Source organism: Homo sapiens, chromosome 5 (genome assembly GCF_000001405.40).
Source record: "Homo sapiens chromosome 5, GRCh38.p14 Primary Assembly".
Classification (NCBI taxonomy): Eukaryota; Metazoa; Chordata; class Mammalia; order Primates; family Hominidae; genus Homo; species Homo sapiens.
This window is the reverse complement of record NC_000005.10, coordinates 90,695,630-90,710,432: the sequence shown is the minus strand read 5'-3', so window position 1 is coordinate 90,710,432 and position 14,803 is coordinate 90,695,630. Positions and strand designations below refer to the sequence as shown.

The window sequence follows — 14,803 nt, the reverse complement described above, 5'->3', positions numbered from 1 at the left end:
CCTTTTTATTTTTATTCTATCCACCAAACTTAGTATGTTACCAATACCTTAAAATATTAACTAACTCTGCTCCTGGTTGGCTTTTTGGTTTCAGTCTTAAAATATTACTAACCCTGCTCCTGGGCTAGTCTTAAAATATTAACTAATCCTGCTCCTGATTAGTGTTTTGGTTTGGTTTTGATTTTTGTTTTTAATACTTTGTTCTTTACCTTTTAAATTTCAGAGGTGCTACCTTAGTCTAGGACACTTATGGTAGCTGCCTGGATGGGGAAAGGGTAGGGAGAGTGTAATTCTCTGTAGAGTGAAAAGAACAACACTGTCCAGGAAAGCATATAAAATCAGGGTTTGCATCCATCAGACAAGAGGCTAAAAAGCAGAGATTCTAAAATCAGACCACACCATTGAAGTCAGCTCTACCAGTCTCCAGCTGTGTGATTTGGGGCATATTACGCAGCTTCTCTTAGCCTAAGCTACCTCATCTGTAAAATGAGAAGAATGTAAGTAATGATATTACTAATCTACAAAGCACTTGAAATAGGAGCATTAGAAACCACTCAACAGAAGTTAACTATTCAAATTATCTCAGTAAGAGGATGAAAGAAATATGAATTGTTTTGTTAGTTGTCTTAGTGTGAATAATAATTATCTTGTAATAATACTTGATGTAAACAGCCTACTCATTGGAATCATCTATTTCTTTAGCAAAAGAACTGAATTTATTCAAACAATAGGTTAGAAACTGATTATTTCCTTTCAATATTTTCAAAGTTATCACAGTGAGCTTCAGAAATGAATGAGGAATGCCTGTTTCCCAGGCCACTGCTCCTGGCCATGCTTCTCTTCCTTTAATCCAAATTAACTTTCCCCTGTCCAGCACTCCTTCTAACCAACTCAGCACCACCCTCTAGTGGGCCATCACACCTACAGGCTTCAGACAAAATTTCCCAGTAGTAAATGTCCACACTGAAAGAGGAGTTTGTGTTTAAACATAGGAATACATCTTTTCAAAGGAATCTAGATAAGTTTGTACCAAGGCTCAGGTTTTACCTTTCAGTCTGTAATGAATTAACTGAGTCTTTTCTAAAAGCATGAAAAGAAAAAGATAAAAGGTCATGAAAGAAGCAGAGAACACAATAAAGCAACAAAGAAGCAAATATCAGCACTGCTTAACCTAAAAGAAAATAAAAACATCTGAGAGTTTGGAGATCTACTGAAAACAGCTAATTTTAAAAGAAAATGAAAGGAAAATACCTTCCAAAGAGCTATTTTGAGGATTACAAATTTGTTTATAAAATAGTTGTAAAATTTAAAGAGCATCACACAATAATTTTTAATGTCTTTACATTGTTCATTGTAAAAATTGCAATATATGAGAGTATCAAAAATAAATATAAAAGCCCATCATATTTTAACACATAGCTAAGATTAACAAAACAGCACAATGATCACTTCTGATTCAAAAATGAAGTTTCTTCATTTCATTTGAAGTGAGCAAAAAGAAACAAACAAGAAACCCCTCATACCTAGTCTGGGAGGAAATGAAGTTGAAGCAGCCATGGTAAGTCCAACGTAAGTTAAATTCACCAGGAAATATTCTTCTAGCTCTGGTACATCATCCTGAAAAAATTACACTCATTAAATTCCTTTAGTTATACTCTCAAAGTAATTAACCCTCAGAAACTGTTTTTAAATTAAACTGTATAATTAGTATACAGAAGATACAAAAATGCAACCATAAAGTAGACAGATGTAAATTAGAAAAAATAAACATAAACGTATTAAACTTATACTTGGTTGTATAGGAAGTAATTAGGTTGACCCACATGAAACCACTTAAATATTTTAACATTTTAAATATAGATTTATATAATATGTAAACCAATTATATAAATATATAAGCCTAATTATTTTAAGCATAATATGAACAAAACATTTGAAATTACCTTAATATCTAATGTGTAGAAGGAGGAATAGAACACCATGGAAAAAAAAAAAGGCTCTGCAGTTCAAGGAGGCCTAGTACCAAATTCTATAATTTTAAGTAAGTTACTTAAATTTTAGAACTCCCAATTCTACTATCTCTATAACGGGGCAATAATAGCTCCTTTTGGGTGGGAGATTGTAATAATGATCACAAATCATATGTGTAGGGTGGCCTAGAGAAAATGCTTTAAAATTAATAGCTATTATTATTAATCACCAGTCCACATAATAGCAATGAAAACAAGGCAGATACCAAAAACATAAGGATTAGCAAAATCCATGTCAAGAGTGATCAGCCAGCCATCAATATTTACAAAGAAACACAATGTGTATGTATATTTATGCATATATAATGTCAGTACACACTCACCAACATATGCTTTTCTCCTCACTTTATTTAATGGAGTCATGTTTCCATGTGAAAATATAAGTGAAAATCATGGTCTCTAGATTGTCTTATGTAATATATGGACCAACATGAGTTACAAGGTCAGTGATATAGAAGGACTGCTGTGCCTACTCTTAATGTCCCCCACCCCCCACGCAATACTTCCTCCCTACCACTCCCCAGGGCAGCTTGCTCCTATATGCATAGGCCTGCAGTCTCTTAATCTTAGTGCTAATCAGGGAGCAGAAAAGGTTGCAAAGATCTAGGATCAAATAAAGGTGGAAACAAAAACCCAATGTTCAAAAAAATCTAGACTCCTCAGAGAAAAGAAGGGTGACTGTGTATTCTCTGCTTTAAAAACTAACATATCTAAGGAATAATCAATCCATTTATTTATATTGTTATTAATAGAGTATACATTTGAAAGATAACTTACTTGAAAGCTTTATCAAATCTTGTGTTATATCCCATATACTGACATAATATTACCTTTAATTTTACAGCTTTGGAATTTTTATACTGTTATATTAGGTCACAGTGCCACAGTAATCAACAAAATAAGTTACTGACTTCAGTTGGTAGATGGTTTACACCACTTATAATTCTGTAAAAGCACAAGCCTCCAAGATAATAAAATACATTTTAAAATAGAACTCCCAAAATACATAGTAATTGAAAAATATTTTCTCAACTGCAATATTCATGCTTTCTCCCTCTTTCCCTTCCCCTATCCTACACACTATCTCCTACTCCCTCCGTGAGTACCATTTTTATAAACCTCTTGGAACTGTATTTAGGTAACTGATACACTAAGTCCCCAAAACAACATGAGATTCCACAATATGAAAAATTATTTAAAATGCAATTTCAATCATTAATGATTATGCTAAGCTTAATGTAACCATAATCGCATTTTGTGCCATCTGCCTCTGGTGAGTTTCTCCCTATCTCTAATTTAAGTGGTCCTACTACCAACAAAGATTCTGACATACACGGATTTTCTGGTCCAAAGAATCCTTTGAAGTAATCAAAATACTCCTTGAAACCTCTTAGGTCTATGGCATCTCAAAGGTGACTGCCCTAAGAAAATTCTTTATCACGGACATGTCTGTAATAAAATACATAACAGCAGGCCTGTCTATCTAAACAAGAACAGAAACCCCTGTATGATTAAAACAACAACAACAACAACAAAATCAAGAAAAGAAATAAGATGATTTAAAGGTACCAGCAGGGGGAACAAGCAGAAGAGAATTCACCAGGTTTCTGGTATTATAATTGTAGAGTGTCCAAACCTGATATTAAAGTCAGAGTAATTTTTTTTTTTTTTTACTAATAGAAAAAAACTCAGGTAAACTTAGTTTTCATGAAACTTGATGTCTTAAAATGCAAAGTTACTAGAAGTGTCTTACTAAATGTTACCACTTATGTTATAGATAGACTCTTCCATCAATTTCTACCTTCTATGTAGTTACTTCAGGTTTAATACAATAATAAGGAAAAATATATGAGTTATCGAGTTAATGGGTGCAGCACACCAACATGGCACATGTATATATATGTAACAAACCTGCACATTGTGCACTTGTACACTAAAACTTAAAGTATAATAAAAAAAACTTATTAAACTATCTCCCCCTAAGATTAAAAAAAAAAAAGAGTTTTACCTCAAGAATGGTAATGTTGATGGCTGCTGCTGTTTCCCCTTCTTCTAAAATCAGAAAGCCAATGATAGGGACAAAATCAACTTCTGGCTCTGCTAGGTTTCCTACTGTTTGGTTCTTCAGACTCAGCATTCCAGGAACCGTGGTATATGTGACATTGATAGCTCCTAATTGAATAGGTTGCAAAAATGTTTTATAATTATCTAAATGTTTACAATAATATCCCCTTGTGAATTTTTTGCCTTTCCTAAAAGCACCTTTAGTAGCTAGTATTATTGGTCCCAATTCCTCACCCCTTCCTATATCCATAATCTTTACCATGTGATGGCTCATGGGTGTCTCACTGTGGGAAAAGCATATTTCCCTGCCTCTAGACTTTGAATTTGGATATGTGACTTGTTTTGGCCAATAGAACAAGGTAAAAATGATGATGTGCTGGTTCTAACCCTAGACCTCAGGGGGCCTTACACATTTTCACTTGGTCTTTTGTGCTACCATTTGTTCCCGGAGAAGAATGACAGACATATGGAATAGAGCCACCCATGGCCAAGCCCAGTGTAGATTAGTAGACCCACAGACAGCCTAAATTACTGTATGCTGCTGAAATGTTATGTTTGTTAATTACACAGCATTTCTGTGAAAACAGATAATTCCTTTAATCTTTTCAAAGATAAAGAAGTTATAAAGTTCTGTCCTGAATGAAGAAATATTAATTTTCTCCTGTCCCCGATTTATTTTAGCAATGGCTTTCATCCACACAAGTAGAATATTAATAAGCACTTGCCTGGAAACCCCATTCATTCTAGAGTAACACAAACCTAGAGATCCAAATTCTCTGTTGATGAAAAGCTGAATTGTTATGTTAGCCTCTTGTAGTAACACAAATCTTGATGAAAGAGCAAAATTTAAAACTCCATGTGGTTCATCACTGGCTTCTACTGTGAGGACAGCTGCATATCCTTGAGCATCAAGCAGGGCGATTCCGGCTGGTGGAACTCCTAAAAATGTCAGGCAGGAATCTAACAGTGATTTGGCATTAGCTTTTAATCGCTGGAAACATAGCCTCACTCTCTGAAACATTAAGGTAATCAAAAGTGTTCTATTTACTTCTCTAACAAATCTTCAGGTTAACAAAAGCCACATTCCATTTTTCTTTCAGGTGGAAGATCATGAATTTCTTTACTTCACATATTACTGTCATTATTGGTTATACTGGTTATCAGAATTATAGAAATTGAATAGAAACTGAGGAAAGTACCCAGATAATTTGCTTAAAAATGACTCAATTTGGGCCGGGTGTGGTGGCTCACGCCTGTAATCCCAGCACTTTGGGAGGGCGAGACAGGCGGATCACAAGATCAAGAGATTGAGATCATCCTGGCCAACATGGTGAAACCCCATCTCTACTAAAATACAAAAATTAGCTGGGCATGGTAGTGCATGCCTGTAGTCCCAGCTACTCGGAAGACTGAGGCAGGAGAATCGCTTGAACCCGGGAGGCGGCGGCTGCAGTGAACCGAGATCGCGCCACTGCACTCCAGCCTGGTGACAGAGTGAGACCCTGTCGCAAAAAAAAAAAGACTAAATTTGATTTATCCATATAATTGGTCCAAAATTCAAATTGGCTTGTAAGTCTCAAATTAATTTCAAAAAAATTCTACCTTCGGAAATGAATTTTATTCTGTAAGTAACCATTTAGCAAAACGTTTCAGGGCTTCTTTCCTAGTCTATAAAGATAAGTATTCCCATATGGTGCTAATTTTTTTTGATCTAACATTTCTAGGGGACACATAATAAAGTAACATTTTAAAAATTGGTATGCATCTAATTGTTAAATACAGAGATAACAATTTTCTTTCTTTTACGAAAAGAATATACCAAAAAAAATTAAAATTAAATTCTGAATTACCTTGTGTCCTGACATCATACAGAATGACTTGGTATACTTCTTTCTCCTCAGGAATGTTGTCATCCAACAAATGCACAAACAATGTTGTATTCAACGACCCCTATGTCATACAGAAAGAAATCAATCCCGCTGTCGTTATTGAATATGAACTATCTCCTGCTTTATTTTTATTCACCTTATAAATTGTGCAGGCAAATATATTTTCATTTAAACAAAAGTTCTGTGGCTTAAAAATAAATAAATAAAAACCACTGACACATGGGAACCTAAGCTCCAAGCAGACAGGGGCTAATTGTGGAAGATCTTGAATGCTGAGCTAATGAACATAAATCTTATTTATTGAGCAATGTAACACTATTGGAAATCTCAAAGCACAAAGTTGGAGAGGTTTCTACAACAATGGTGAGTAGAAAAAACTGGAGCAGAGAAAAGAAGACAAGTGCTGCAGGGACACTAGTCATTAAAAGTCCAATGTACTACTCAAGGCAGAGGGTAATATTGGCTTGGCTTAATATTGAGGCAATGAGAAGGAAGATAAAAACAATTAAATACATCATCAAAGAATTCATACGAAGTAGGTCTGGAGAAGAGAGAAAGATAATAACTACAATAGTGCTGCTTTTCTATCCCATTTTCCTCAAAATACACCATTCTTTCTAGATATTTGTGATCGACTTTTCTTTGCAGTATTACCTCAGGAAAGAAAAGTTGTCCGCTAAAGTTAGCAAAATTGAGTTCTAGATTTTGCCCAATAATTTTCCAGTTAACAGTAACATTTCCTCGACCAGGGAAAGTTCTTATCACATGGAATTGTAAAATTTCTCCTGCAAGTAAAATGTGTAAATTGATAAATACTTAATGGAAAATAAACTTCACATTTGAACTCAACAAAACCCAAATCCCAAGCATGCAACTATTACAGCACCTTTCCCAAGAACATTACAAAGCTGTTTTGTTTTGAATTTTCTAGAATCTTTATACATGCTTATTGTTTATTATCCCCACTTCTAAATACTTCAATTTAGTAGAACTTGAGGAAATTTAATATGTAAAAGTTACAAAAGCACATGCTAAAATGGGAAACACAAACTTTTATACACTCCAAAACATGCACCAGAACATAAGTGTTCTGTAAATTAAAGAAAATAATAAAGTCCTCATGATAGTAACACAAGTAAATTCTTCCTTCACTTTTCAAAAGGGCACAAATCCTTACACTGATATGCAATGTGATTTTACACAATGCATGCATAAAAATGCTTGCAAATACCTGAAAATCACATTTCTTTAGTTGTAACTTACATATACCATCAATGATTTTGTATTATAAAAAGAAATACAAAGGAAAGGTGTCAAATCTGTACATCAACATCTGTAACTTTGCCAAAGTTACAGTTATCCTTCCTGGATAATGGAGATATTTTAGATCTCTTCTATTCCTGGCTTTTTTCCCCATATAATACTTCACAAAAGTGAAGAAAATCATAACATGTCTTTCAAATTGCTAAAAGCATAAAGTAAGCTGTTAGGGAGCGTGCTAATGGCCATATGACTTGTTGAAAATATGCTCAATTCACTAGCTTTATATGATGATGAACACAACTAAGAAATACCAATGAACTGTATCACTAAAAAATTATTATTATGCAAGGATAGAATGATGTTTAAAAAGATTTAGAAGACGACATCCTTAATCAAACTGTATAGCATAGACATATAGTTAAAAACCACAAACATTCACTAAAAATGTCACTTTTAGTTAGTTTTAGTTCAGTTAGCTATCCAAGTAACTTTTGTGTATATAAGTAATATCTTCAAACATTTTTTAAAAAGTAGAAATAAAGCAATAAACTTTAAACACTATTTTCAAGTATTTTTTAAACCGCCACATTTTTTATTTCTGAAGACAACTAAACAAATATTTCTTATAGGAAGATTTCTTAAAATATCATGAATTAATTAATTTAGAGACCATCTTAATTTCAATTTAAAAACAAAATAATTTTTCATACTAAATTTAAACACAATTTTAACAAAATGAACATTTTAAGGAGAGTGGATAATATAAACAAAAGCATTAGAAAGGCTTCTTAAAACACATTTTAAGTGTGTCAATACAAAAAAAATTAGTTACCTTTACATTAGTAGACTATGTCTTAGTTTTATCTTTTAAAAGCACAGGAATTTCTAGATCAGATTGTCCAAAGATTGGGATGAAAATGAAGGACTATGTATAGTCAGCCATTGCTAGCATACCATTTAAAAATTTTGTATTTGTAAAACTTGTGAACAAAATATAGACACTACTGTGAAACTCTGGTGTCTCTCTATTGTACAATATATAGAATTTCTTATAGAGCAAGTTTGGAATATTGAAAAACAAAAATTTATTACTAAAAAGCATAGAAAAATCTTTGAAGTTATTAAGCTATTTCACCTACAGTGTTGTCTGGTGACTCTTTCATAAGAGTCATGGTTTTCAAACTTTTCAAATCACAAAATTTGTTAATGGTTCAAAAAGAAAATTATGGAAGTTTAATGAAGTACTAAAGTGCAAAGAGAACACAAATGGCAAGAAAACAAAATGCAGGTCAAAAAATTTCCATGTTGAAGGGTAATCTATAATCACAATAATAAAATTGCAGTTGCAAGTTTAGACACAGAGATTTGGGCATAAATACATCATTTTTAGGTAAAAGTAAAAATAAAATGCTTAGGAGAAAAGAAAGTAAAATATTCAGACAAACTTACTACATGTAAAAACACTAAAAGTCTAATACTAGTTCATCAATATCCCCTCTGAAAATTTAAAAAGTTACTATGAAAGTAACTTGCAAGAAAATACTGCAAAAATATAATTTGAAGTATGATACACACACACATATACACAAACACATGCGCACACACACGCACATAGAGAAGCACATATAAATAAAAGATAAATGAAATATTTCTTAAACACATAATCTTGTAAGCCTAGTGAAAATGTATCATGTCAACAGCAAGAATAGTGTGAAATTTTTTCTAAGCAATAATCAAAAGGGAGGTATTTATTCTGTCTCTTTATTGCAGACTCCCAGGAGCCAGGTCCATTTAAAATGCCTCCTGGAAAAAATGACTGGACATATCAGAAAGATACCTTCTGCCAGGATGAAAAGTCAAACAGTCACAGGAAAATGAAAAACTTAAAAATAAGTGCTTAGCCTTCCAAATTTAAGGGAAAAGACAGAAGAAAAGTCTTAAGAGAGAGTATGTTATTTTTAGATGACAAAGACTTTACTAGGTACTAAACAGCCTTCTAGTTTTTGCCCAAGATGAAAGGCAGAACAACCCTTACATAACAAAGTGTCTGACTACATAACTGGACGATCATCTTGATACGAAATCCAGAGTTTACCAAAAGTTAGTGACATATTTCAACTCTAAAGCAGATCTGTTACATGGTGTCTAGGACTAACCTAATGCAGATAAAGAATATGAATGAAGAATGCATTTTAATAAACCTAAGTGTTTTAGACACTTATTTTCAAGACCAGAATTCTTTTTACAAAGATAAACACCAACTACAATGTACATAAAACTAATGGAAAACCAAAATACAGAAAATATATTTAATAGATTCGTGTATACATGACATACATATACTATCCAAATTGCCCTCTATAACAAAAAAGAAAACGGGATAAAACAATTATAGGAATATGAATAATGTGAAGCAGACTGTCAAAAAGAACAGTTAAGAAAAAGTTGAGTGTTTCCAGTAGAGCGGTTCTATATATTTCTTTAAAGAATCACATTTCTTGCTCAAATCTTTGTGTAAAAAAGATTCACGCTGTCCCTAAGAGAAGAAAAAATTTAAAATCCATCGAACATGACATGATGATTATGCTGCTGCTCAGCTGGGTGACTGAGAGAAACACCTAGCACAGATTTATAAAGAGCACATTTATACCCAGTGTGCAACCACAGTAAAATCCATTGTCCCATATTTCTAAATTCTGTCCATTACATTTGAAAGAAAGTAATATTTACCACTGGGCAGCTCTCCAACTGCATTAGGACAAAATGTAGAAATAGGATTCTACAGAATTCAATACATTGTTAGAGACTAAGGCAATTCCTCCCATGAATCAAAAATGCATTCTAGAGCCAGAAGTTCAGCATAGTCCACATTTTAAATCTAATCACATAAATGAAACTCCAACACTAGGCTAAAAGCAACGTTAACACTGTTAAAAGCTCACATGGCACAATTATTTTCACCCCATTTGTTTAGCGGTTATCTCTGAAGAATCACCATGATGTTTTCATTAATTCACTTTCATAAAATCATCATGATACACATTTCTCTGTGCAATTTTCATGGTAATATAAAGCATACACAAAATACTGAACTATTGTGGCTTAATATGTTTTTGAAAAAAATAATTTATAATCTAGGAAAAGGCTTAGGAATGAAGAGAAAAAAGTAAGTAAAAAATAGAAATTGACTCCAACTTTTATGTAGAAAACATAAAAAATCTAGGGAGCACTCATGCCAGCAAGAAAAGCAATTTGGTGTTTTAGATTGATATGCTAAAGCAGATTTTTAACCAATAACACCTTTGGACCATTTATTTTAATTAATAATCTTTCCTCTTTGCCTCTCCTGCAGATAATTAGCTGTTGGAAACTGACGAGGCTACAATATTGTTTTCAGGTGAAGTTCATCTGGGCCAAACAGACTGTAGGTGTTCATATCTGCAGTTTCTCCAAGATGTTGTGGTACCCAGCAGGAGGGCCTCCGTGTCTTCAGAGCCCTCCAACTCACCACTAGCACCACCATCCAGGCTCATAGGATGCACTTTCACAACATTAGTGGCCCTACAGTTAAAATTCATTAAATTGATCCTAGACATCCAAATTGTTTTGTATTCCTTAGAAAAGAAATTTCATCACACTGCTGAAAAGTGCATGCCTAGTATAGCTCTAAGTCCCTCCTTAAATCTCGTCTATCCTTTCCTGATCTCAGCTCTTGTTTGTACCTTCCATACCACTAATACTTTGATTCTCTTTTCCTTCCCCCTATTTCTTCAACAAAACAAATCCAAAATGCTCCCGTCATCTGTTCTATCCAATGCTTCTCCTCTCCTTGCTGTTATAGCCAATAAGCAGTGCTTCTCAAAACTTCATGCTGTGAAGGACAGGGATTTGTGTTTTGTTTTGTTTGCCTTAATCCATTAGAGGCTGACCCTCTTATAAAACAGAATAAAATAAATGACTAGATAAGTTAAATAGCAAAAAACTAACGCAAACAAAAAAGACATACAAAATACCAGCCCATAGATACTGCTTTTGGATATCACAGCAAAGTGAAATTGTTAAAAGAGTTTCCAATCCTCTTGTCACAGACCAGAAGCAAACACTGAACAGGCAGCCTCCTGAAAGCCACATTGAGGAGGAACCCCTGAAGACCTCTATGTTTGTCATCCTTAGATATTTGCTTCCTATCCCCAATACTCCTTTAAAATTCATCTACCATTGCCACTGTTTTATTTGGCCCATTTGAGATCTAACTCCCCTTTTTGGCCATGTTAGTATGAGACACACTGATTACTGATTACTCACTGATTACGGAGTAATCAGTGTAACTGATTGAAAACACACTCTCTCCCTGGTTTCTCCCTGCCTCTCCAGCAAAGGCTTCTCTCTCCTCTCAGGTAATTTTTTCTTTCCCAGCACCTTAGTCTGATGTTCTTCATGGTTCCATTCCGATAATTTGCTTTTTTTTCCTCTGTCCACAAAAGTCATCATATTCATTTTCCAGATTTCAGCTATCATCTTTAACCAATGTCCATCTTTAACCTGAAACAGAGTCAGGTTCTCTCACTAATTTCCTTCCCTCACACAGGCACTGCTACTCAAATTCATTATGCTTCCAACTCAAATAACTTCAAATATTTACCAAAAGTCCCTGCATTGCCAGGTTCTGCAGCAGACGTGAGTTCAAGCAAAACAAAGTCTCTCCTCACTAGGTGCCCTATATAGCATGGGCTTTGGATTTGACACAGCTGGGCATAAGCACTACCACTGAATAATTGTTGCTATTTAGTCTCTCTCAAATTCAGTTTCCTTGTATGAAAATCTGGTGTATACAATTATACCTATATCATAGGACTGCTGTTAAACTTAAGTGAAATAATGAAGGTGGAGTGTCTGCCACACAGAAAACACTCCGTAAGTGTTACTGTTGTCATTATTATTAACTATTCCTGCAGTAACTCTGTATTATGTTACAAATAACTTTTTGATAGTTGATGATCTGTCTTTAGGTTAGATTTATGGAATTATTCACTTTTACTCATTACTGCTATGACAACATGCAATTCCAAACCGTTAATAAAAGTAGAGTACTGAAAATGGCTCGAATATTTGCATGGATAAATAAACTTGCAAGTTGGAAGTACAGTAAGGGAAAAGGTAATACAGTAAAATACATTCTGTTTCTGGCACAGCCACTAACCATCTGACACTGTCAAGTCTTTTAATCTCTCTATGTCTCAATTTGTTTTCTCATCTATTAAATAGATGTCCAAGTACACAATCTATATCCTTTTCATTTATTAACTATTCAAGGTAAAATTATTTTTTTAATTCCAGATAAACTATGTAATGAAACACAGGCTACCAATACCTATTTACCCCAAAACAGGCTTACTCGAAGACAAAAACACTGTTATGTTTTAAACACACAAAAATTAGCCCATCTATGCAAAACCCTACATATGATGTAAAATATTAAGTAAGAATTCAAGAAAATTACTGTTTTTTAAGGAAAAAAAGAAATTTTATAAGGTTTGGCACTTTGTTCATAAAATGTACAAACACAATATAAAATCCAGGCTAAAATATTCACTGATTACAAACTATTACTTGTTTTTAACCGGTTACCAATGTTTCACTGTTTGATACCAACAGCTACCCTTGGGCATACGCTATACTTGCCAGGAACTATGCTAAGCACTTTACCTTTATTAGCTCATTTAATCCTCACAAAGAAACCTATGAAGTAATATTTTGAATCATTTAACAAATGGGAAAACTAAGCATTTCAGGTTTAACTTCCTTAAAATCATACCAGTAGAGAATGGCAAGCTAGAACATGGTATTGGTTTGCAAGGCTCCTAAATCTGGCTAAACAGTTCATTATAAAGCCTTCTCCCAAAGAAGTTCTATGCAGATTAACACACACACAGTTCAACAAAATAATGAAAGGGAAAAACTATCAAGTTTTAAAGAACTAGACAAAAGACAACATCCATAGAAAAGAAAATGAATATGCTTAACAAAAAAAGGAACCCACCTTCATGACCTATGACAGATCTGGAAGCTGTCTGAAAGCTAACAATTCCTGCCACATTGTCATTGGCCAAAATGTTCACTCTAACAGTGTCGGAGCTTGGCAAAATTCTACTTCCACCTTCAGTGTACACCAAACTAACTATGATACTTTCGTCATCCTCTGGTTCAGAGTCATCCAAGATGGTTAAAATGACTGTCTTTTTGGTTTCACCTATAAAAACATCAATGGAATAAAAACCAAAGTAACAAAATCACCAACACAGAGAACTCAGAAAGGCCCAAAATAATTTCTATGTTTAAAAGTTAAATAAAAATATGAGTGAATTATAACAGTTCCATATCATGGGCAACATAAGCAAATTTTAATTATATATATATATATCTTTTCACATATCAAACACTGTAAAATTTCATTAATGAAGACAGATTGTGGAGAAGGACATTTTGAATTATGGGAAAGTTAAAAGGTAGAATTGTTTCAAAGAATCATGGCTTTACTTCCTGGTTGTTAGCCAAGAACAGTGACCTAGCTAGGAAAAGAGCTCCAAAGATATCCTGTTTAGAAACAACTCCCTTTAGGAAAGTGGAGTCTCATTCTCATTCTGGCATTACTGTGATAATTTTAATCAGATATCAACACAATACCTTCCTGAAAAACCAGGAACACTTAGGGAATCGTGGTCAAAATGAGGAACTAAAAAGGGATGTCAAATTCTGAGCAAAAGAACCAGCCTAAATGAGATGCATCTTTGAGTAACTCGATGAGATGACAGCATCAAGTACCAGTCTCCAGGAAGTAGTGCAATGAAGGAAGAAAACAAAAGAGGAACTCAAAGGGACAAGTGACAGCAACAAAAGTCCAAGCAATCTACTTTGCAATTTGATCTAGTAGATAGGGCACCACAGAATGTCCCTAAATCCAATACTTTCTGCCATTCAGCCTAAGGTGTCCCCTATTTATTTTCTCCCCACTTTCTGGAGAGACAATGAAGGAGTGGGAAAAGAAAAGGCAGGGAAAAGGAGAAAGGAGATTAAATGCATGTTCTCTCTTTTGTGACCCTGCTGCATTTTCATCAATACAGCAGTGTCAAGATTGCTTTAAGAGAGTCTGCATTATCTAAGAATCTAAGTTAGCAATAGAGTCCATTTTGTGTGATGCTAAGGTTATAATTCATGGTAATGGTAATTTATATAATGCTATTTCTTTATATATAACTTTCTTTGTAGTTAACATAACCACTGGAAAAATCCAACTTTATATTTTCATTTCCACTCCCTCCTCGTCACATTTTCATTATTCCTTTTGAAATAGAAAAGTTACCAATTACTAACCTGTTCCCATCTTCCGTCAAGCATATCATATCCCACTAAATCCTCAAATCACTGACTAGAAAATAACCATAATAAAAATATTTTATACAATTTTTAAAATTTACTCTAAAACATAATGATTATTATGTGTTTCAAAAAGCGTATTACATATGTACCATGACCTCTAATTAGTTTCCAAAAAAAAGT

General features: G+C 33.8%; 1 protein-coding gene across 16 annotated transcripts in view; it reads right to left on the bottom strand.

Moving 5' to 3' along the window:
* Nucleotides 1-14,803, bottom strand: part of ADGRV1 (adhesion G protein-coupled receptor V1) — a 605,641-nt gene that overhangs the window by 454,005 nt on the left and 136,833 nt on the right. For 11 of the 16 annotated variants that reach the window (XM_017009963.3, XM_017009969.3, XM_017009968.3 and 8 more), the window contains 6 exons: nt 13,287-13,496; nt 6,638-6,768; nt 5,945-6,044; nt 4,854-5,054; nt 4,039-4,202; nt 1,524-1,617 (listed from right to left, as the gene is read on the bottom strand). In XM_017009963.3, the coding sequence (XP_016865452.1) occupies nt 1,524-1,617; nt 4,039-4,202; nt 4,854-5,054; nt 5,945-6,044; nt 6,638-6,768; nt 13,287-13,496 (900 nt within the window). The remainder of the gene's footprint in view (nt 1-1,523; nt 1,618-4,038; nt 4,203-4,853; nt 5,055-5,944; nt 6,045-6,637; nt 6,769-13,286; nt 13,497-14,803) is intronic. The other 5 variants (NR_003149.2, NM_032119.4, XM_047417824.1 and 2 more) reach the window with 1 other exon arrangement.